Source organism: Homo sapiens, chromosome X, assembly GCF_000001405.40.
Source record: "Homo sapiens chromosome X, GRCh38.p14 Primary Assembly".
Taxonomy (NCBI): Eukaryota; Metazoa; Chordata; class Mammalia; order Primates; family Hominidae; genus Homo; species Homo sapiens.
Window position 1 is genome coordinate 127119192 of NC_000023.11, and position 24901 is coordinate 127144092.

Genomic DNA, 24901 nt, shown 5'->3' on the forward strand with positions numbered 1-24901 from the left:
GTATCAGAATGATGCTGGCCTCATAAAATGAGTTAGAGAGGATTCCCTCTTTTTCTATTGATTGGAATAGTTTCAGAAGGAATGGTACCAGTTCCTCCTTGTACCTCTGGTAGAATTCGGCTGTGAATCCATCTGGTCCTGGACTCTTTTTGGTTGGTAAACTATTGATTATTGCCACAATTTCAGCTCCTGTTATTGGTCTATTCAGATATTCAACTTCTTCCTGGTTTAGTCTTGGGGGAGTGTATGTGTCAAGGAATGTATCCATTTCTTCTAGATTTTCTAGTTTATTTGCGTAGAGGTGTTTGTAGTATTCTCTGATGGTAGTTTGTATTTCTGTGGGATCGGTGGTGATATCCCCTTTATCATTTTTTATTGTGTCTATTTGATTCTCCTCTCTTTTTTTCTTTATTAGTCTTGCTAGTGGTCTATCAATTTTGTTGATCCTTTCAAAAAACCAGCTCCTGGATTCATTGATTTTTTGAAGGGTTTTTTGTGTCTCTATTTCCTTCAGTTCTGCTCTGATTTTACTTATTTCTTGCCTTCTGCTAGCTTTTGAATGTGTTTGCTCTTGCTTTTCTAGTTCTTTTAATTGTGATGTTAGGGTGTCAATTTTGGATCTTTTCTGCTTTCTCTTGTGGGCATTTAGTGCTATAAATTTCCCTCTACACACTGCTTTGAATGCATCCCAGAGATTCTGGTATGTTGTGTCTTTGTTCTCGTTGGTTTCAAAGAACATCTTTATTTCTGCCTTCATTTCGTTATGTACCCAGTAGTCATTCAGGAGCAGGTTGTTCAGTTTCCATGTAGTTGAGCAGCTTTGAGTGAGATTCTTAATCCTGAGTTCTAGTTTGATTGCACCGTGGTCTGAGAGATAGTTTGTTATAATTTCTGTTCTTTTACATTTGCTGAGGAGAGCTTTACTTCCAACTATGTGGTCAATTTTGGAATAGGTGTGGTGTGGTGCTGAAAAAAATGTATATTCTGTTGATTTGGGGTGGAGAGTTCTGTAGATGTCTATTAGGTCCGCTTGGTGCAGAGATGAGTTCAATTCCTGGGTATCCTTGTTGACTTTCTGTCTCGTTGATCTGTCTAATGTTGACAGTGGGGTGTTAAAGTCTCCCATTATTAATGTGTGGGAGTCTAAGTCTCTTTGTATGTCACTCAGGACTTGCTTTATGAATCTGGGTGCTCCTGTATTGGGTGCATATATATGTAGGATAGTTAGCTCCTCTTGTTGAATTGATCCCTTTACCATTATGTAATGGCCTTCTTTGTCTCTTTTGATCTTTGTTGGTTTAAAGTCTGTTTTATCAGAGACTAGGATTGCAACCCCTGCCTTTTTTTGTTTTCCATTTGCTTGGTAGATCTTCCTCCATCCTTTTATTTTCAGCCTATGTGTGTCTCTGCACGTGAGATGGGTTTCCTGAATACAGCACACTGATGGGTCTTGACTCTTTATCCAACTTGCCAGTCTGTGTCTTTTAATTGGAGCATTTAGTCCATTTACATTTAAAGTTAATATTGTTATGTGTGAATTTGATCCTGTCATTATGATGTTCGCTGGTGATTTTGCTCTTTAGTTGATGCAGTTTCTTCCTAGTCTCGATGGTCTTTACATTTTGGCATGATTTTGCAGTGGCTGGTACCGGTTGTTCCTTTCCATGTTTAGCGCTTCCTTCAGGAGCTCTTTTAGGGCAGGTCTGGTGGTGAGAAAATCTCTCAGCATTTGCTTGTCTGTAAAGTATTTTATTTCTCCTTCACTTATGAAGCTTAGTTTGGCTGGATATGAAATTCTGGGTTTAAAATTCTTTTCTTTAAGAATGTTGAATATTGGCCCCCACTCTCTTCTGGCTTGTAGGGTTTCTGCCGAGAGATCCGCTGTTAGTCTGATGGGCTTCCCTTTGAGGGTAACCCGACCTTTCTCTCTGGCTGCCCTTAACATTTTTTCCTTCATTTCAACTTTGGTGAATCTGACAATTATGTGTCTTGGAGTTGCTCTTCTCGAGGAGTATCTTTGTGGCGTTCTCTGTATTTCCTGAATCTGAACATTGGCCTGCCTTGCTAGATTGGGGAAGTTCTGCTGGATAATATCCTGCAGAGTGTTTTCCAACTTGGTTCCATTCTCTGCATCACTTTCAGGTACACCAATCAGACGTAGATTTGGTCTTCTCACATAGTCCCATATTTCTTGGAGGCTTTGCTCATTTCTTTTTATTCTTTTTTCTCTAAACTTCCCTTCTCACTTCATTTCATTCATTTCATCTTCCATTGCTGATACCCTTTCTTCCAGTTGATCGCATCGGCTCCTGAGGCTTCTGCATTCTTCACATAGTTCTCGAGCCTTGGTTTTCAGCTCCATCAGCTCCTTTAAGCACTTCTCTGTATTGGTTATTCTAGTTATACATTCTTCTAAATTTTTTTCAAAGTTTTCAACTTCTTTGCCTTTGGTTTGAATGTCCTCCCGTAGCTCAGAGTAATTTGATTGTCTGAAACCTTCTTCTCTCAGCTCGTCAAAGTCATTCTCCATCCACCTTTGTTCCGTTGCTGGTGAGGAACTGCGTTCCTTTGGAGGAGGAGAGGCGCTCTGCGTTTTAGAGTTTCCAGTTTTTCTGTTCTGTTTTTTCCCCATCTTTGTGGTTTTATCTACTTTTGGTCTTTGATGATGGTGATGTACAGATGGGTTTTTGGTGTGGATGTCCTTTCTGTTTGTTAGTTTTCCTTCTAACAGACAGGACCCTCAGCTGCAGGTCTGTTGGAATACCCTGCCATGTGAGGTGTCAGTGTGCCCCTGCTGGGGGGTGCCTCCCAGTTAGGCTGCTCGGGGGTCAGGGGTCAGGGACCCACTTGAGGAGGTAGTCTGCCCGTTCTCAGATCTCCAGCTGCGTGCTGGGAGAACCACTGCTCTCTTCAAAGCTGTCAGACAGGGACATTTAAGTCTGCAGAGGTTACTGCTGTCTTTTTGTTTGTCTGTGCCCTGCCCCCAGAGGTGGAGCCTACAGAGGCAGGCAGGCCTCCTTGAGCTGTGGTGGGCTCCACCCAGTTCGAGCTTCCCGGCTGCTTTGTTTACCTAAGCAAGCCTGGGCAATGGCGGGCTCCCCTCCCCCAGCCTCGCTGCCGCCTTGCAGTTTGATCTCAGACTGCTGTGCTAGCAATCAGCGAGATTCCGTGGGCGTAGGACCCTCCGAGCCAGGTGTGGGATATAGTCTCGTGGTGCGCCGTTTTTTAAGCCGGTCTGAAAAGCGCAGTATTCGGGTGGGAGTGACCCGATTTTCCAGGTGCGTCCGTCACCCCTTTCTTTGACTCGGAAAGGGAACTCCCTGACCCCTTGCGCTTCCCAGGTGAGGTAATGCCTCGCCCTGCTTCGGCTCGTGCACGGTGCGCACACCCACTGGCCTGCGCCCACTGTCTGGCACTCCCTAGTGAGATGAACCCGGTACCTCAGATGGAAATGCAGAAATCACCCGTCTTCTGCGTCGCTCATGCTGGGAGCTGTAGACCGGAGCTGTTCCTATTCGGCCATCTTGGCTCCTCCCCCCCTTCCTGTATTATTTCATATCACTGCAAGTGAGTCTACAATTATCTCAAAAGTAATTATTTAGTTAGAAGTCACTGAAAACCAGTTAGAAGCAATTCACAAGAAAAAATTTAGTTTTTTCAATGTACAAAAATCAGTAGCATTTCTATATACCAACAAGTGTTCAAGCTGATAGTCAAATCAAGAAGACAACCCCATTTACAATAGCCACAAAACAAATAATATACCTAGGAATGCATTTAACCAAGGTGGTAAAAGACCTGTACAAGGAGAACTACAAAACATTGGTTAAAATTAGAAATGACACAAACAAATGGAAAAACACTCCATGATCAAAGATTGGAAGAATCAATATCATTAAAATAGCCATATTGCCCAAAGAAATCTATAGATAAAGTGCTACTCCTATCAAACTACCAACATCATTTTTTTACAGATTTAGAAAAACAATTCTAAATTCATATGGAACCAAAAAAATAGCCCAAATAGCCAAAACAATCCTAAGCAAAAAGAACATAGCCAGAGGCATCACATTATCTGACTTCAAATGATATTATTAGTCTACAGTAAAAAAAAAAAAAAAGTATGGTACTGCTATAAAAACAGATGCATATACTAGTGGAACAGAATAGAGTACTCAGAAATAAAGCTGCACACCTACAATCATCTTTGAAAAACTTGACCAAAATTAGCAATGGGGAAGGACTCCCTATTCAATAAATGGTGCTGAGATAGCTGTCTAACCATATGCAGAAGAATGAAACTGGGACCCTACCTTTCACTATAAAAATTAACTGAAGATAAATTAAAGATGTAAATGTAAGACCTCAAACTATAACAAATCCTAGAAGAAACCCTAGGAAATACTCTTCTCAGCATCAACCTTGGCAAAGTGTTTACGGCTAAATCCTCAAAAGCAATCACAACAAAAACAAAAATTGACAAATTGGCTGTTCACAAGCTCTTTAGCTAACTAAGAGATGTTTAGCTTACTAAGCTAAAGAGCTTCTGCAAAGCAAAATAAACGATCAACAGAGTAAACAGACCACCTACAGAATGGGAGACAATATTTGCAAACTATGCATTTGACAAAGGTCTAATATCCAGACTCTATAAGAAACTTAAATAACTCCACAGGCAAAGAATAAAAAACCCTATCAAAAGCGGGCAAACACATGAACAGACACTTCTCAGAAGAAGACATGCAAGTGGCTAATGAAAATTTAAAAATGCTCAACATCATTAATCATCAGAGAAATATAAATCAGAACAACAAGATAACATTTCACACCAGCCAGAATGGCTATTAATAAAAAGTCAAAAAATAACAGTTGCTAGCCAGCCTGCAGAAAAAAAGAAATGCTTATACACTGTTAGGAATGTGCATTAGTTCAGCCATTGTGGGAAACATTTTGGTGATTTCTCAAAGAACTTTAAAACAGAACGACCATTCGACCCAGCAATCCCATTACTGGGTGTACACCAGAGGGAAAATAAATTATTCTACCAAAAAGACACACACACTCATATATTTTCATCTCAATAGCAAAGACATGGACTAAATTTCAGTGACCATAGATGGGGGATTGGATAAAGAAAATGCTGTACATATACACCAGGGAATATTATACAGCCTCAGCAAGAATGAAATCATGCCCTTTGCAGCAACATGGATGCAACTAGAGGTCATTATCCTAAGCAAATTAACACAAGAACAGAAAACCAAATACTGTATGTTCTCACTTATAAGTGGGAGCTAACCATTGGGTTTTCATGGATATAAAGACGGGAATAATAGACACTGTGAACTATTAGAGGGGAGAGGAAAGAAGGGAGAAAAGAGCTGAAAAACTACCTATTGGGTACTATGCTCACTACCTGGGTGATGGGATCATTTGTTCTCCAAACCTCAGCATCAAGCAATATTATCATTTAACAAACTTAAACATGTACCCCCTGAATCTAAAATAAAAGTTGCAAAAATAGCTACTGGTTCTTTTTAAAAATTTTTTTTAAATGAGACAAAAGTTTTGCTCACCCATAGCATGCTTCACTTCTAACTGTATTTTCAAAGGATTGATAGAGACATCTCAGAAGCCCAAGCCAGTAATTACTGACATAAGATAAAGTGGTGTACTACTTAAATATGTGTTTTACCCATCTCTATTGCCATAAAAATATTTCAAAAATCCAAAATGTCATGTTTTCAAGTTATTCTCAAAGCCGCTGGCAGTTGTAACTGTTGGTAACATTGATTCTTAGTCTGAAGTCTTTGCTAAACAACTTGAACATGGTTCTGGGATTTGGCATGTAGGTCTGTTAGCTCTTTTCAATGATTTTGGATGACATCCAAGCCAACTCATAAATGTAATATTCAGAACATACTCCTTTTTTTCTCCAGCCTTCTAGTAGCACATAAGTCACGTTTGTGAGGGATGTCTGGATTCTTCCTACCTCTCCACATTTTAAACAAGAAGGCAAGTCAAAAATACTGTATGTCCTCTGGAACAACACTTCTATGAGAATTCTGTGGAAAAGGAATACAGTTTTTAAAATCATAGCCTGGTACATAGATCTCCCAGCATTGCAGTCTTCAACTCCAGAGCAGCAACCTTTTGTGTTTGTTTGGTATCATAGGAAAATAATACTTTACAAACATAAATATCTATCATATCTTGTACCAATGTTGAGTCCAAACTGTCCACTCTATTGAAATCTTATATAAAAGTTATAAACTAAATTCTCAAGCTCATGTTTTATTTTTTTCATGAGATTAACTCACATAAGTGACAACATAATTATACACACAATGTGGTCACTGTAAATAGAGTGTGTGTGAAAGACATTTTAACTCATGAAACCTTTGTGAAACTGTCATATTTGGTAAATGTTTAAATATAATCCTGTTATGCTATTTAAAAGCTTCCGTTTATAAATTTGTTATACACACTTACAAAAGTATGCATGTTAATGATTGCTAAGCTGCTTCAACCTCATTAAATTCAGAATTCTTTTCCAATTGGTACGAACATAGCATATTTCATAATTTTATAAACTAGTTATACTACCTGTAGTACAAATTAACCCCTTGATAATTGTGTTTTTCTTTTCATATAGCTGCTCGACAACCATTATTCTTAAACCTCCTTTTCCAAATATAAATAAATTTATATTGAATATAAAAGTATGTAAAACATAGAAAAAGAAAAAAATGCAAAATCATAGGTAGTGCCATTAAACAAGGACAGCTATTTAGCTTTTTAATTACTGCTATATACATTTATATACACATATTTTCTGTATATAATATTTTTTGCATTTTGATGAAATAGATTGGATTCACATTTCTTTTTGCTTTTCATTCCCTAGCTGTGTGACTTTTTGACAAGTCATTTAAGCTCTCTGTGCTTTATTCTTCTCATCCGTAAGGTTAGAAAAATATCATCTACTTCTCCATATAATCGTGAAGATTAAATGAAATGATCCATGCCTGGCTTTGAGTAAGAACTCAATGAATACTTAGCTGCTATTACCACTGGTACTACTAATAATACCATCACCAGTACCACCACCACCACTACTACGTGCTTTTGTGTTCTGCAATTATTTACTTTAAAGTTATTATAACAAACATTTCCCCAGTTTATCAGGAACTTTGTATGAACCATTTGAGGGCTGCATACAGATGTATTTAATTTGCTTTAGCATTCTTGCTTGTATCTTTTATAAACAACACCTTGATGAACCTCTTTGGACATAAAACATTTAAAGTTTTTTTTTATTTTTAAAATAATCCATAACCCATTCCATCTAGTGGCGGTCTCAATTGCTTTAATTCATTGCTGAGTTATATAGATTATATGGATTTTTGTTATCTGACCTTGGAAACTATATTATTTTTATATAGGAAAAGTAATTCTACATTTCAATTACTAAAGTAAACAATGCCTTTGGAAACTAATTACTTTATAAAGTGGTGATTGCATATAGGTATGAGTTTTGTCTTCATGTTTGCACATACATGCATATCATTCTATTTATCTATATCAATAAGTATCTATTTATCTGTCTATATCTCTATTCACACACGCATCTTCAGTCTTATAGGAAGGTCACTTCATAGTTACTGGCAGATGGATTATGTCTAAAATATCAAAGAAAAATCTTTAATATTTTAAAATCTATCTCACTATTCACAGCTATTTTATGTTGTTAGATGTAATTTTGGAACTGGGCCACAGCTGGCAGCAGTGATGGAAAGAAACAATGAAAAGAGAAAGCAATTGGTCAAGCTACTAATGAACTGATTTGACACAGTGTTTAGCACACAGTTCATTATAAACCTGTAGATGACAGATATTTTAAAATTCTATGTGACAGTACTAAGCAGGAAAATAAAGCAGTGTTTGTAGTTGATATTGCAAAATCATCTACAATAATGAAAGGGTCAAATATACGTTGTAAAACTACATATCTCTTAATGAACCAAGAATACATAGGTAAACTAGAAGTTTAATAATATAGCCAAAACTCTTACCAGAAGGAAAAATATTTGAAAAACGGTTTATAGCATCTTAAAAATATAAACATTAGAAATGTATCAAGACTCTCTTAATTTGAATGAGTTATTTAATATTTATTATTATAGATATAGGAAGAGAAACTAATTACTTTAAACTGGAGAGGGTAAATGGACTCACTAAGGTATAAAAGTTTCAAAATGTAAATTGTGTGGAGTCTTCTAGACTTCAAATTTTAAAAAGGAATAAAGAAAGTCATTCTCACGGTATTCAAAAATCATCCCATAAAAAGATTCCAACAAAATTTCTTGTTAATTGTAGTAAAATTACAAGAGTTCCATAACTTCATGCCACAGTATGTCAGGAAGGGCTGCCAACGCAGAGAAACTCAGAAGACTCCTAGAAATACAACTAGAAAGAAAGTCAGTGGTTATGAATATCAAAGAGACAGAGTTAAAATTGCCAACACGTGTGACATTTCCTGAAGGGCAAAAGCAAATTCTGTTGTTTAGAAAGGCAAACATAGTCATTCAAAGAGTACTTTTCTGTACTCCCTGTATTCAATTACGCATAAACAGAAGCCAAACAGATTGAAACATTAAACAACAAGCAGTCTACGGTTAGTTTCAGAGAAGTAAAATGTTAATGTTAAATACCTCACATACGACACTGTTTCATAAACAAATGATCACTTCTCTAGCCCCTCCTCCATATAAATGCCTATCAATTTCTGGTCTATGAAGACTTAGTTTATTCAAAGATAAGTAATCACCAATCAGGAACCAGCAGCAGATATATATAAATACACCATAAGGCAGCTATAAAAACAGGAACAGAAAAAAGCAAATGATAGGCAGGAATAGGTGGAGCAAGATGGCAGAATAGAAAGCTCCACCAATTGTCCTCCCTTCAAAGACACCAATTTCACAAGCATCTACACGGAAAAGGTCACCTTCATAAGACCCAAAAGTCAGGTGAGTACTCACAGTACCTAGTTTTAACTTCATATCGCTAAAAGAGGCACTGAAGAGATATGAAAAACAGTTCTGAATATCCAAAACCACGCCTCCACCACTGCTCGCAGCAGCTGTGAGCTGTGGAAAGCCTCTCTAGGCACTGGCGAAGAGAGAACACAGCAATTGTGAGACATTAAACTGTACAGTTCTGTTAGAGCAGAAAGGAACCTGGACCCACCTCAGCTGGCACCCACCCACAGAGGGAGCACTTAAACCAGCCCTAGCCAGAGGGAAATCACTGCAACTGCTAGAACTTGGGACCCGGAAGCCTTCCCAGTGCAGGCTAAAGTGTTCGGGATCTCTAGGTAAATGTGAAAGGCAGTCTAGGCCACAAGAACTGCAGCTCTTATACAGATGCTAGCACTGAAATAGGTACAGAGCCAGTGGACTAAGACAGCAGCAATCTACTGAGATGACAGCAGAGGCAGCAAAGGGAGTGGTGATATCACCCCTCCCCTAAACCCAAGCTGCACAGCTCACAGTTCCAAAAGACACCCCTTTCTTCCACCTGAGGAGAGTAGAGGGAAAAGTGGTGAGAATTTTGTCTTGCACCTAGGATAACAGCCCAGTCACAGCAGGATAAGGCACTAGTCAGAATCATGAGGCCCCTGTTCCAGGCCCTAGCTTTCAGATGACATTTCTAGATAGACACTGGGCCAGAAAGGAACCAACTGCCTTGAAGGAAAGGACTCAGTCCTTGCAGCATTCATCACCTGCTAAATGCAGTGCCTTTGTGTCCTGTATAACCAGCGGTGATACCCCAGTACTACACTGAGGGCCTTGGTGAGCCTCTGAGACTAGTTGGCTTCAGGCGAGACTCAGCACATTATCAGATGTGGTGGCTATGGGGAAAAACTCCTTCTGCTTGAGAAAAGCAGAGAAAAAAGTAAAGGCCTTACACCTCAGGTACCAACACTGCCACAGGCAGGTAGAGCATCAAGTGGGATCTTGGGGTCCCTGTCCAGGATTTGACTCTTAGATGGCATTTCTGGACCTGCCCTGGGTCAGAGGGGAGCCCACTGCCCAGGCTAGGCAGCATTCACCACTAGCCAACTTAAGAGACCTTAGGCCTTAAGGCAACTTCAGTGGTATTCTGGCAGTACTCCTCTTGGCCAAGGGTGGTGGTAGCTGTAGGGTAAGCCTCCTCTCCCTCTGGAAAGCAGAGAAATAGAGGGAAGGACTGCTTCTTGTAATTGAGTGCCAGCTCAGCCACAGTACAATAGAACACCAGGTAGACTTCTCAGGTTTTTGACTATTCCCTGACTCCTAGAACAGCATTTCTGGACCTACCAGGGGAATGGGGGACCTCATTGCCCTGAATGGAAGGACAACAGGCCTGGCTGGCTTTGCCATCTGTTGACTGTAGAGGCCCAGAGCCTTGAACAAATACAGGCAGTAGCCAGGGGGTGGTCACAGCAGGCCTCGGACAAGACCCAGTGCTGTGCTGAGTTCAGTCTAACCCAGCACAGTCATAAGTGAAGTGGCCACAGGAGTACTTGTGTCACTCCACCCCCAGCTTTCGGTGACTCAGAACAGAGAGAGAGACTCTGTTTGTTTTGGAGAAAGTAAGAAGAGAACAAAAGTCTCTGCCTGGTAATCCAGAGAATTCTTCTAGATATTGTCAAACACCATCAAGAAGTTACCTCTATGAGTCTGTAAGAACCACAGTGTTGCTGGGCTCAGTGTGCTCCCTAAAGCAGAAACAGTGTAGATTACAACAACCAAGTCCTTTCAAATATCTGGAAAGTCTTCCCAAGAATAATGGCTACAATAAGGCCAGACAGTGAAGACTACAATAAATGCCTGACTCTTCAGTGTCCAGAAACTGAAGAGCATCCATTAGCATCAACACCATCCAGGAAAACATGGCCTCACCAAAGGAACTAAATAACACACCATTGACCAATCCTGGAGAAACAGAGATATATGACCAAAAAGCCAGAGAATTCAAAAGAACTGTGTTGCAGAAACTCAAAGAAATTCAAGATAACAAACAGAAGGAATTCAGAATTCTATCATACAAATTTAACAAAGGGATTCAAATAATTAAAAAGAATCAAGCAGAAATTCTGGAACTGAAAAATGCAATTGGTGTGCTGAAGAATGCATCACAGAACTTTAATAGCAGAATGGATCAAGCAGAAGAAGAATTAGTGAGCTTGAAGACAGGCTATTTGAGAATACACAGTCAGAGTAGACAAAAGTAAAAAGAATAAAAAATAATGAAGCACATCTACAGGATTTAGAAAACAGCCTCAAAAGGGAAAATCCAAGCATAATTGGTATGAAAGAGGAGATAGAGAAAGAGAAAGGCTAGAAGGTTTATTCAAAAGGATGACAGAAAACTTCCTAAAGCTAGAGAAAGCTATCAATGTTCACGTACAAGAAGGCTATAGAATACCAAACAGATTTTTCCCAAAGAAGAGTACCTCAAGGTATTTAATAATCTAACTTCCAAAGGTCAAGGATAAAGAAAGAATCCTAAAAGCAACAAGAGAAAAGAAACAAATAACATACAATGCAGCTCCAATACATTGGGCAGCAGACTTTTCAATGGAAACCTTATAGGCCAGAAGAGAGTGGCATGGCATATTTAAAGTGCTGAAGTAAAAACAAACAAACAACAACAACAAAACAACCTTTCACCCTAGAATAGTATACCCAGTGAAAATATCCTCCAAGCACGAAAGAGAAATACAGACTTTTCCACACAAACAAAAGTTGAGGGATTTCATCAATACCAGACCCATTCTCCCAGAAATGCTAAAGGGAGTACTTCAGTCAAAAAGAAAAGAACATTAATGAACAATAAGAAATCATCTGGAAATATAAACTCTCCAATCAAAAGACATAGACTGGCTGAATGGATGAAAAAATAAGACCCATATACCTGTGGCCTACAAGAAACACCCTCACCTATGAAGATACATATAGACTCAAAATAAAGGGAAGAAGAAAGATATTCCATGCTAATGGAAATCAAAAAAGAGCAGGAGTCACTATACTTATATCAGACAAAAGAGATTTTAAGAGACAAAATACTAGAAGAGACAAAGGTCACTATATAATGATAAATGGGTCAATTCAGCAAGAGGATCTAATTTTAAATATATATGCACCCAACACTGGACAACACAGATATATAAAGAAAATTGTTAGAGAGAGAGAAATATTAAAAAGAGAAATAGGCCACAATACGATAATAGCTGGAGACTTCAATACCCCACTTTAAGCATTTGACAGATCTTCTAGACAGAAAACCAAAAGGGAAATCTCAGAGTTAATCTGCACTATAGAACAAATAAATCTAATATATATATTAACAGAACATTTCATCCAAAGGCTACAGAATACACATTCTTCTCAGCACATGGAACATTCTCAATGATGAACCATATCTTAGGTCAAAAAACAATTCTTAAAACATTTAAAAAATTGAAATAATATCAAGCATCTTCTCTGACCACAATGAAATAAAACTAGAAACTAGTAACGTGAGAAACTTAGGAAGCTAAACAATTACATAAAGAATAAACAGTATGCTTCTGAATGACCAGTGGGTTTATAAAAAATTTAAGAAGAAAACAAGAATTTCTTAAAACAAATGATAATGGACACACAACACACCAAAAATCTGTGGAATACAGCAAAAGCAGTACCAAGAGGGAAGTTTATAGCTATAAGTGCCTACATCAAAAAAGAGAAAAAATTCAAATAAACAATCTAATGATGCATCTTAAAGAACTGTAAAAGCAAGAGCAACCCTTACCCAACATTAGTAGAACAAAAGAGGTAATAAATATTGGAGCACAAATTTTTAAAAATTGAAATAAAAAACCAATACAAAATCAATGAAACAAAAAGTTGTTTTTTTGAAAAGTTAAACAAAATGGACCAATCTTTAGCCAAACTAAGGGAAAAAATAGAGAAGATATAGATAAAAGCAGAAATGAAAAAGGAGACATTGCAGCTAATACTGCAGAAATTCAAAGGATTATTAATGGCTACTATGAGCAGCTATATGTCAATACATTGGACAATCTAGAAGATGAGGTTAAAATTCTAAATGCATAAAACCTAACAAGATTGAACCCAGAAGAAATCCAAAATCTGACCAGACCAATAAAGTAATGAGATTGATGCTGTAATAAAAATATCTTCCAGTAAAGAAAAGCCCACTACCTGATGGCTTCACTGCTGAATTCTACCAAACATTGAAAGAGGAACTAATACCGATCCTACTTACACTATTTAAAAATAGAAGAGGAAGGAATACTTTCAAACTCATTCTATGAGGCCAGTATTAGCCTGATACTAAATGCAGACAAAGACACATCAACAAAAGAAAACCACAAGCCCATGTCTTTGATGAATATTGATGCAAAAATCCTCAACAAAATACCAGCAAACCAATTTAGACAATACATTAGAAAGATCATTCACTATGAGCAAGTGTTATTTATCCTTGAGACACCTCGACATATGCAAAACATTCAATGTAATACATCATATAAACAGAATGAAGAATAAAAACCATATGATTATTTAAATTGATGCTGAAAAAGCACTTGATAAAATTCAACATCCCTTCATGATAAAAAGCCTAAAAAAACTGGATATAGAAGGAACCTACCTCACCATAATAAAAGCCATGTATGACGGACCCACAGCTAGTATCATATAGAATGGAGAAATTGTGAAAGCCTTTCCTCTGAGATCTGGAACATGGCAAGAATGCCCACTGTCACCACTGTTATTCAACGTAGAACTGGAAGCCCGAGCTATAGAAATCAGACAAGAGAAGGATATAAAGGGCATCCAATTTGGAAAGGAATAGTCAAAATGATTCTTCTTTGCTGATGATATGATCTTAAATTGGAAAAACCTAAAGGCGCCACAAGAAAGCAATTAGAACTGATAAACAAATTCAGTAAAGCTTCAGAATACAAAATCAACATACAAAAATCAGTAGCATTTCTATATGCCAACATGGAACGATGTGAAAAAGAAATAAAAATATAATCCCATTTATAATAGCCGCACATAAAATTAAGTACCCAGGAATTGACTTAACCATAGAAATGAGATCTTTATAATAAAAAAATTATAAAACACTGATAAAGAAATTGAAGCAGATATCAAAAAATTGAAAATATTGCATGTTCATGAATTGGAAGAATCAATACTGTTAAAATGTCCATGATAACCAAAGCAATCTACAGATTCAATGCAATCCCTATCAAAATACCAATGACATTCTTAACAGAAATAGAAAAAAAACTACCCTACAACATATATAGAAACACAAAAGACACAGAATAGCCAATGCTATGTTATGCAAAAAGAACAAAACTGTAGTAATCATATTACCTGACTTGAAATTTTACTACAGAGCTATAGTCACTAAAACAGCATGGTACTGGCATAAAAACAGACACATTGTCCAGTGGAATTGACTAGGGAAAGCAGAAACAAATCCACACACCTATAGTGAACTCATTTTTGACAAAAGTGCCAGGTACATACACTGGGAATAAGGCAGTATTCAGTAAACAGACCTGGGAAAACTGTATATTCATATGGAAAAGAAATAAACTAGACAACTATCTCATGCCACGTACAAAAATAAAATCAAAATAGATTAAAGACTTTTAACACCTAAAACTATAAAACTACAACAAGAAAATCTTGGAGGAAATCTCTAGGACATTGGTCTTGCTAAAGATTTCTTGAGTAATACCCCATAAGCACAGGCAACCAAAGCAAACATGGACAAATGAGATCAAATCAATTTAAAAACCTTCTGCACAGCAAAAGATATAATCAACAAAGTGAAATTGCTGGATCAAATGGTAGTTCTACATTTAGTTCTTCAAGGAATTTCTCTACTGTTTTCCATAGTAGTTGTACCAGTTTACATTCCTATCAGCAGTGTAAACACGTTCCCTTTTCACTACATGTATTCCAACATCTATTTTTTTTTTCATTTTTAAATTATGGCCATTAATGCAGGAATAAGGTTTTATCTCATTGTGGTTTTAATTTGCAATTCACTGATAATTAGTGAGGTTGACTATTTTTTGATATTTGCTGGCCATTCATATATCTTCTTTTGAGAATGGCCTATTCATGTTTTTGCCCACTTTTTGATGGGATTATTTGTTTTGTTTTTTTTTACTGAATTGTCTGAGTTCCCTGTAGATTCTGAATATTAGTCCCCTGTTAAATGCAAAGTTTGCTAATATATTTTGAGAATTGTTTATTCTTGTTCTTTGCTCACTTTTTGATGGGATTATTTGATTTATCCTTGCTGATTTGTTTGAGTTCCTTGTAGATTCTGAATATTCGTCTTTTGTCAGATATTTAGCTTGGTAATATTTTCTTCCACTCTCTGTTGTTTTATGAATAAATAAGACACTTGCACATGCGGGTTGATAGCAGCACAATTCAAAACTGCAAAAATATGGATCCAACATAAATGCCCATCAAACAATGAGTGAATAAAAAAAATTGTATATACACACCATAAAATAATACTCAGCCACAGAAAGGAATAAAATAATGGCATTTGCATCAACCTGGATAGAGATGGACACCATTATTCTAAGTGAAGTAACTAAAAAATGAAAAACCAAACATTGCATGTTCTCAGTTACAAGTGGGAGCTAAGCTATGAGAACTCAAGGGCATCAAAATGATATAGTGAACTTTGGGGACTCATGAGGAAGGGCGGGAGGGGGTGAGTGATAAAAGACCGCACATTGGATACAGTGTACACTGCTCAGGTGACAGGTGCACCAAAATTTCAGAAATTACCACTAAAGAACTTATCCATGTAACCAAAAGCCACCTGTTCCCCAAAATATATTGAAATAAAATAAAATAAAATAAAATAAAATAAAATAAAATAAAAAAGTAGAGACAGCCCACAGCACGGAAGGAAACATTTGCAAACTACCCATTTGACAAGGGAATAATAACCAGAATGTATCAGGAGCTCAAACAACTTTATAGAAAAAACACCTAATAATCCAACCAAAAAATGGGCAAATAATTTAAATAGACATTTCTCAAAATAAAACATACAAATGGCAAACAGACATATGAAAAGGTGCTCCACAGCATGGATCATCAGAGAAATGCAAATCAAAACTACAATGAGATATCATTGCACACCAGGTCAAATGGTTTATATCCAAAACACAGGCAATAACAAATGTTGGCAAGGATTTGGAGAAAAATGAAAGTTTGTACACTGTTGATGGGAATGTAATTGGTAAAACCACTATGAATAATAGTTCGGAGTTTCCACACAGGACTAAAAATTAAGCTAACATATCATCCAGCAATCCCACTAATGGGTATGTACTAAAAAGACGAGAAATCAGTATATTGAAGAGATATCTGCACTTCTATATTTGTTGGAGCACTGTTTACAGTAGCTAAGATTTGGAAGCAACCTAAGTGCCCATTGACAGATGAATGGATAAAGAATGAGGTACATATACACAATGGAGTAATATGCAGTCATAAAAAAGAATGAAATTCTGTCTTTTGCAACAACATTGATGGAACTGGAGGTTATTATGTTAAGTGAAATAAGCCAGGCACAGAAAGACAAACATTGCATATTCCCACTTATTTGTGGAATCTAAAAATCAAAACAATAGAACTCATGGACATAGAAGGATGGTTATCAGAGGCTGGGAAGGATAGTGGGGTGAAGGGATAGAGGTGGGGATGGTTAATGGGTACAAAAAATAGAAAGAATGGATAAGACCTACTATTTAATACTGCAATAGGGTGACTATAGTCAATAATAACGTAATTGTCTATTCTAAAATAATTCAAAGAATGTAATTGGATTGTTTGTAACTCAAAGGATAAATACTTGAGGGGATGGATACCCCATTCTCCATGATGTGCTTATTTCACATCGCATGTCTGTATCAAAGCATCTCATGGACTCCATAAATACATACATCTACTATGTACCCACTAAAATTTTTAAAAATATTAAAATAAAATACAAATGGTAGGCAAATAATGCTAATACAAATCCTGTGAAGTAAAAAATAACATAAATATTTTATTGTAAATTAATGCATTAAAGAACTATATCTTTAAAATAGGATCTCAAAACGAAGATACAAGGTGTCAGAGAAGATATAGCAAAATGATATGAGATAAAACATGAGCCAGAAAAACTAAAAACAAAAGTCAGAAAAAATAGTCACCTTATATTTGAAATACCATAAAGAAAAGTAAACAGTTGAAAACACAACAAGGAATATAAAAAAGAGAATTGATAAAAGTTTGTAAGAAAAACATGAATATTAACAGTGTCAGAAAGTTTTTAATTTAATTTAAATTTAATAGAAAACAAGCAAGAGAGCCAACTTGTGCATATTTGCTGTCACTGAAGAAGAGAATCAGATAAATGGAATATAAAATCAATGTTTAAAATGATTATTTATAAATCCTTTCTGAAAATAAGAAAATGTTATGTATATACACTTTAGGACACTGAGTAACAAGGAAAAAAAAATTAACACAGCCATCAACACCAAAGCACAAGCTAGTAAAGTTTCTAAGCTTCAAAAATAAAGCAAAATCCTTTGGATATCCTAACAAAATATGGGGAAAGAAACTTTGAAAACTGACAAATAAAAAAATCTATAAATTTATGAAATCCACTTCTATCTGTTCCATCACTGATAGATTCACTGTTGCATCTATCAGTGTATATGTGTCATGTGTATGTGATATTTCACCACAAAACATGTGAAAGAGCTCTAATCAATTGGCTTAAAGAAAAAATAAGTGCTCAAATAAAATATTGCATTAGAAAAATAGAAGCTAGGTCAAACGCCTTTTAGTTCACATGACTTTAATAATCTTTGGTAAATAAAACTAGTTTCAAAATTCTTTTCAGTAATTTAAAATGATAAAGACATGTTATGTTAAATTTAAACCCAGGTTTATCATTGGAAATTAGAGACTAAGAGCAGAATAGTAGTTAATATATGTAATTAAAACCATTCTACATATGGAATACTAAAAGAAAGTAGGATTATTTTGGTAAAAGTTATAAAAACATGAGGATATGTTTTTGGCTTAAAGAATAAGCAATTTTGTCTAATTTGGAGGCTATTTAAAAGTTGCTTCAAAATGAAAGAAAAAATGGTATAGATAAAACTAAATAGATAGAAAGAGAAAAGATAAAAAGGTGTGGAATGAGAAACATTTGATTCCTGTGTGGCCATGTAGTCACCCATAGTATGGAGCTGTAGCTGTGCTGCATTCAGTTATTAAAGGTAACTGTTACCAGTAGAATTTAGAGATGGCTCAAACTCCTGGGGGATTGGTTCAATGGATGTATAAGGAGAAAGAAACTAATAAGCAAAAAGCAAAATATTCGATCCTTTGGTTATTATCTATAACAGCTAAAATAAAAGTAAAAGAGAGTGCTGGGTTATGCCTTGAGGCTGGACCAACCTCAGATGTGGATCTGTCCGAGTTCAGATCACTAGATTCAAAGCTACTCACAAAGGGGAAAATTATGCCAGGGACAAAAGAAAGTACCTCTGAGACCTGTGCTTACCAAGAAGGCAGTCAAAGTGGGGAAGGGGCAAAACCAAGTAACTATTGAGACTAGAGGATATGATATGAAGGAATTGTTCCATTTTGTAGATGGGTATCATCAGCTCACTGATAAACTTTTACTAAAATGGATTGTGAACATAACTAATTTGGGAACAATGTCTTAGATTTTAAATGCTATAGTAAAAGAGTATGTTTCCATTGATGCAGGACCCACAGCTCAATACTGAACAATTCCAAATAGATACATATGATCCGGACACACAGGAGGTTATTTCCAAGGGAACAGCTATCGTGGCGGACTGGATAAAACCACTGTAAGTTCTGTTTACTCTGAGAAGAGGGGCTATCCAACTCCCCCTAAAATTGCCAAGAACAGCACCCCAGATAATGCAGCTGATATGCTTTATATGCAAGCCATGGGAGATTAGTTTTAGGATAAACAGGATATGCACCCAAGGAATAGGCCTGTTACCCAGGTCATGGTACATGCTATTGAAAAGGGTGTCCCCTTTGGTTTCATCACTACTGCAAAACTGAATAACAGTTCAGAAAGGCTTCTCAAATTCGCTGTCTCAACTTCCCCTTGTGGGTCTTTACAGATGTTAATGGAAACATTAGGTTAATTAACAAGAAGAACTTGGGGAAAACAAAAGGTAACAAGAACATGAGAATCAAAGGACTCATCCCAGGAAGGTAAAACATTTTAAATAGTTATTTTTTTAAAAAAGTAAGTTTTAAAAACATTGATGGGGTGATATTAAGAGAAAAAGGAAAGGAAGAGGTCATGGGACTCATCCCGGCAGGGTAGAAAATTTTAGATGGTTATTAAGAAATGGGATGAATAAAATGTAAATTGATGTGGTTAAAATGAAGGTCTTAAATCCTCAAAGCCAAAAGCCAAAGTTGGGTAGATCAAAAAGGTCCCTTGCTGGTCTGCTAACATTAAAGGATCTCAACCAAACCAATTTTTTTTTTTATTTACTGCAGATTGGAGAAAAAATAAAATTAGAAGAAAAAGGTTATAATGAGAACACTAACAATTGCCTCAAGATAAGATTGACAAAAGGATCCAAATCCTTTGACCCAACCCCCTCCTGGGAACTCAAATTCTTTTACACAAGAAAGGGTAAAATGGTCTGCGAGTGGAAATGGAAGTTACTGGGACCAGAACATAAAAATGTAAGGGTTGATATACTTATGAAATTTGAAATGTTTAAACAGACTAATATAAAATAGTTGTGTCTCCATTACCTAAATGCTTTCTGAAAATGAATATTATATATAACTAAAGGATGTTCTCTCTACCTACCACTATAAAACAGAAGGCTTGAAAATCTGCCCTTGAGCAATATTAATTGGACATGCTAAATGAGAACAAGTAAGATTGCCCAAGCCCACAGACTGTAGTGCAGAAACTGGAGTACGAGTTGGGATGAATTGTCCATCTAACAGGCTTTGTGAAGCATTTACAGGGGCTTATGGCAAATGCCTGTGAGCACCTTGCAATAACAACTTTTGGGACTTTGCTCTAGAGAATTTCCACTTGAGGGGTATTTAACACCTTGCTATGGGATGTTAACTGAAGCTACCCTTATGCTAATGAAAATAGCAGTGCCCAGAAGAGTTCCATGAAAAAATTGAAATGGTTTATATAGGATCTTGCTTCTCAAAGAATGTAAGGAGGAAATACTCACAGTCCCTTTTTTCCCTCAGGACTAATATGGAAGTGTTTAAGAAGCTGCTGGATTCTATAGTGCCCAAGAAACAGCTCTCATCAGACTGACAAAGAGCTACTTGGTTTGTGGAAGGCGTTTCAAGGGAGACTGGACAACATCTTGTTGGGAAGGCTGTTACTCTGAAGAAGAATCAAGAGAACCTATTTTCTTTCTAGCTATTTACAGCTTAGAAAAGTTGTGACACAATTGGAGACACTGATTATTTTATCAAGGCTTTGACTGGAATGGCATATATTCAAATATGACCAGATTGAGGAATTGAGGTCAAGTTTATGGAGCCAATAAAAATTCCCTTGGAAAGACTGACCTAGTTAGTACCTTTTCTAAATGGTTCCTTTACAAGGATTCTTTGTAAAGAATGTCACTTTCTATTAAAAATAGGCCCAGGAACCCCAAAACATTTGGGGACCTCAAGAAGAGAGGAATTCGTACAGATATTATAAGCAAAGTCTAAGGGTAAATCCTTGGGTTGGCTTCTGGCCTTGAGGATTTTAAAACGTTGAGTCTAAAATTCCTTATAAAAGTTCCAGCAAAGCCAGGTTAAAAGGAGTCTATATGGCTGATCACTATGCTTGCTACACTTTATGCAAATAACCATGGCAAGTACAATGAGAACAAAATTTATTTTGCAAACAAATTGGTCTTATTGTTACAGGTAGTCAGGCATGAGCAGGGCAGGAGAGGGACCCCCCTCCCACTACCCACCAGGAATGTCAGGTGATCATCAGGTGATGGTTTGGCATCTATCACACTTCCTCTCTAAAAATGATAATTGGCAGCCAGCACCAGGGAGATGCCATTTTCTGAAGGTGCACAGTTATGACAATAAAATAATAGATCGCAGGTTCCAGCGAGAGGCAGTTTCTCTACAGATAAAAACATTTGAAATTGGTAATTGGCAGCTTAGGAATTGGGTGAGCACACTCCAGCATGTGCGTTAAGAGACAAAATGGGCCAGACGCAGTGGCTCACGCCTGTAATCCCAGCACTTTGGGTGGCCGAGGCAGGCAGATCACGAGGTAAGGAGATCGAGACCATCCTGGCTAACACGGTGAAACCCCGTCTCTACTAAAAATACAAAAAATTAGCCGGGCATGGTGGCAGGCACCTGTAGTCCCAGCTACTGGGGAGACTGAGGCAGGAGAATGGCGTGAACACAGAAGGCGGAGCTTGCAGTGAGCCAAGATCGGGCCACTGCATTCCAGTCTGGGCGACAGAGCGAGACTCTGTCTCAGAAAAAAAAAAAAAAAAAAAGAATAAGTAAAATACATAGAAAAATTGTTCTTATCTATGAAGCAGATCTCAAAAACATTCAAAGTTTTAAAATCATACAAATATGATCTCTAACCACAATGAAATCGTGGTAGAAATCCAGCAAGTATGAAAACAAACAAAACATTTTTATATGTTTGAAAATTAATGAATACACTTCCAAATAACACACTGACCAGAGAAAATAACAGTTAAGGAAAGTTAAGGAACATTTTGAACTAATAAAAATAAAAATATAACATATCAAAACATATGGGATACAGCTAAACTTTGTTTATAGGGATATTCACAGACATAATTGCATACATTAGAAAAGAAAATTGTCTCAATATCAATGATCTGAGCATCCACCCAACAGCAAATGGGTTTATTCTGGAAATACAAGCTTGATTTTGCTTTTGAAAATGACTATAGTTCCCCACAATATCAGAATAAAAGGCAACATTATGAATTATTTTATAAAGAGTGTGCATTCCTGCAACAATACAATAATGGATGGATCAAACATAATGGAAAGTTCAGAAACAGTCTCATACATTTATGGACAATTGATTAGTAACCAAGTTAATACCACCATACAATGGAGAGAGGATGCTGTTTTTCCAAGAAAATGATGCTGGTTCAAACAGAATGAAAATTTTTATGAATGAAAAGATACTTGGTCTTTACCTTACAGCACACCACAGACACATACATGCCATATAAATTATTTATCTCAGTGATAAAGGCAAATAATAAAGTTTTTGGCAGATAGCATAACACATATCTTTATGATTGAGAGAAGAAATAGACATAACAAAATGATTGATAAATTGTAGCTATATTAAAATTAGTAACTCTTGTCAATTACCAGTAAGATAATGTAAATATATACCAGAATGAAAGTACACACTCAAAATACTGATCAAGAACTCATATCCAAAACTTACTAATACAAAAGAACAAAAAATCACTCATAGTCTAAGAAAAGGCACTCAACCTTACTAGTAATCAGCAAAATAAAATTACAATTAGACACTACTCATATCCATCAGAATGGCCAAAATTAAAATGATTGACAATTTCAACTGTTGGGAAAATCTAGATGAACTCTCAAATGGTGGGAGTATAAATTTATACTGGTGAGCAGATGCATAAAATGTGGAAGGAGAATAGAAATGGGACAGAATAAATATTGTATAAATATCAAAATGTATGCTCCCATCAAGAGACACATTTAAGACACATAATCCCCTACACCTCAGCACATACATACAATTATTGGGCTATATCTTATACATATGCTCACAGATGTATAAAATATCCAAGGGCATTCATTACAGCATATTTATAGCAGCAAAAGACTAAAAAATGTTTATCAATTAGAACTGGTCAGATAAAATGTGGTACTTCTGTGCAATGTTAACTAAATAGTTGTAAAAATGCAAATCAAAACCACAGTGAGATATCATCTCATGTCAGTCAGAATGGTGATCATTAAAAAGTCAGGAAACAATGGATGCTGGAGAGGATGTGGAGAAATTGGAATGCTTTTACACTGTTGGTGGGAGTGTAAATTAGTTCAACTGTTTTGGAAGACAGTGTGGTGATTCCTCAAGGATCTAGAACTAGAAATACCATTTGACCCAGCAATCCCATTACTGGGTATATACCCAAAGGATTATAAATCAATCTCCTATAAAGGCACATGCACACGTATGTTTATTGCAGGACTATTCACAATAGCAAAGACTTGGAACCAACCCAAATGCCCATCAATGATAGACGGGATTAAGAAAATGTGGCACACATACACCATGGAATACTATGCAACCATAAAAAAGGATGAGTTCATGTCCTTTGCAGGGACATGGATGAAGCTGGAAACCATCATTCTCAGCAAACTAAGACAAGAACAGAAAACCAAACACTGCATGTTCTTACTCATAAGTGGGAGTTGAACAATGAGAACACATGGACACAAGGAGGGGAACATCACACACCAGGGCCTGTTGGGGGGTGGGAGGCTAGGGGAGTGATAACATTAGGAGAAATACGTAATGTAGATGATGGGTTGATGGGTGCAGCAAACCACCATGGCAAGTGTATACTTGTGCAACAAACCTGCACGTTCTGCACATGTATCCCAGAACTTAAAGTATAATTAAAAAAAAATAAAAAAAAAAATTGATCGGTGGATGGTTAGGGCAGTGAAACTACGCTGCATGAGACTGTAATGGTGGATCCGTGTCTTTATACATTTGTCCAAACCCACGAAATGTACAATGCGGAGGGTGACCCCTAAAATAAACCATGGGCTCTGGGTGATGGTGATGTAGCAGTGAAGGTTCATCAATTGGAATAAACGCACCATTCTAGTGAGGGATGTTGCTAGTTGGGGAAGCCATACATGTGTGGGGCCTCAGGTGTGTGGGAAATCTCTGTACCTTCCTCTCAGTTTTGCTATGTACTTAAACTGTTCTAAAAAATAAGGTCTATTAATAAATAGACAGGTAACCAAAAAAAAAAAAAAAAAGAAGAATGAGGTAGTTCTAAATCTACCAATATAAAATCACATGTATGATATATGAAAACTAAAAGCAATATGCAAAACAGTATCTAATTCTTAAAGGTGAGCTATCTATCTATTTCTTTGTGTAAAATTATTTTACCAAAAAAAAATTCAGTGAAAGTAGTTGCCTCTGGAGAAGAAAACTGGTACCTTAACAAGAAGGATACAATAGTTTGCTAAAGTTATTATGAGGAATTTTTTAACGGTTTGACTCCAATTCATGTCTTAATCTTCTGCAGTCTAGGTTCAAACTACGTAATCGTTGCACCTGTTATTCTTGAAATGCAGCTAAGGATTGAATAGTGAACTGAATAGACATTTGATTTTGCTATGTCATCCAGTGACTGCAGGTGTAACTAAATTCGTGTCTATTCTGTCTTCAGCTCACTACCAAAAGCATGTCTTTTAAAAATCTAGATTTCTTAGGTATGAGCTGAGAGGAGTCAAAAAATTAAAATAAATACAAGTCTACATTTATCATGCAAGTTAGGAGGAGCACATGACTTTTGTGTAGCAACCGGAAATTTGATTTTCAAAATGGGTATGACATTATATGTTTACAGACATGTAAAAAAGTAGAATTTTTATATGTAATGAAAGTTAAAAGAACTGCTTTTCATACTTTGTGTATGTTTTTGAATTTTTAAATTTCTGAAAATTAT

At 36.5% G+C, this 24901-nt stretch overlaps 1 long non-coding RNA gene across 1 annotated transcript; it reads left to right on the forward strand.

Moving 5' to 3' along the window:
* The first annotated feature begins 18892 nt into the window (after positions 1-18892).
* On the forward strand, positions 18893-20722 carry LOC107985650 (uncharacterized). The gene is made up of 3 exons (XR_001755996.2): positions 18893-18994; positions 19668-19859; positions 20394-20722. It is a non-coding gene; the product is annotated as an uncharacterized LOC107985650 (long non-coding RNA).
* Positions 20723-24901: the final 4179 nt, after the last annotated feature.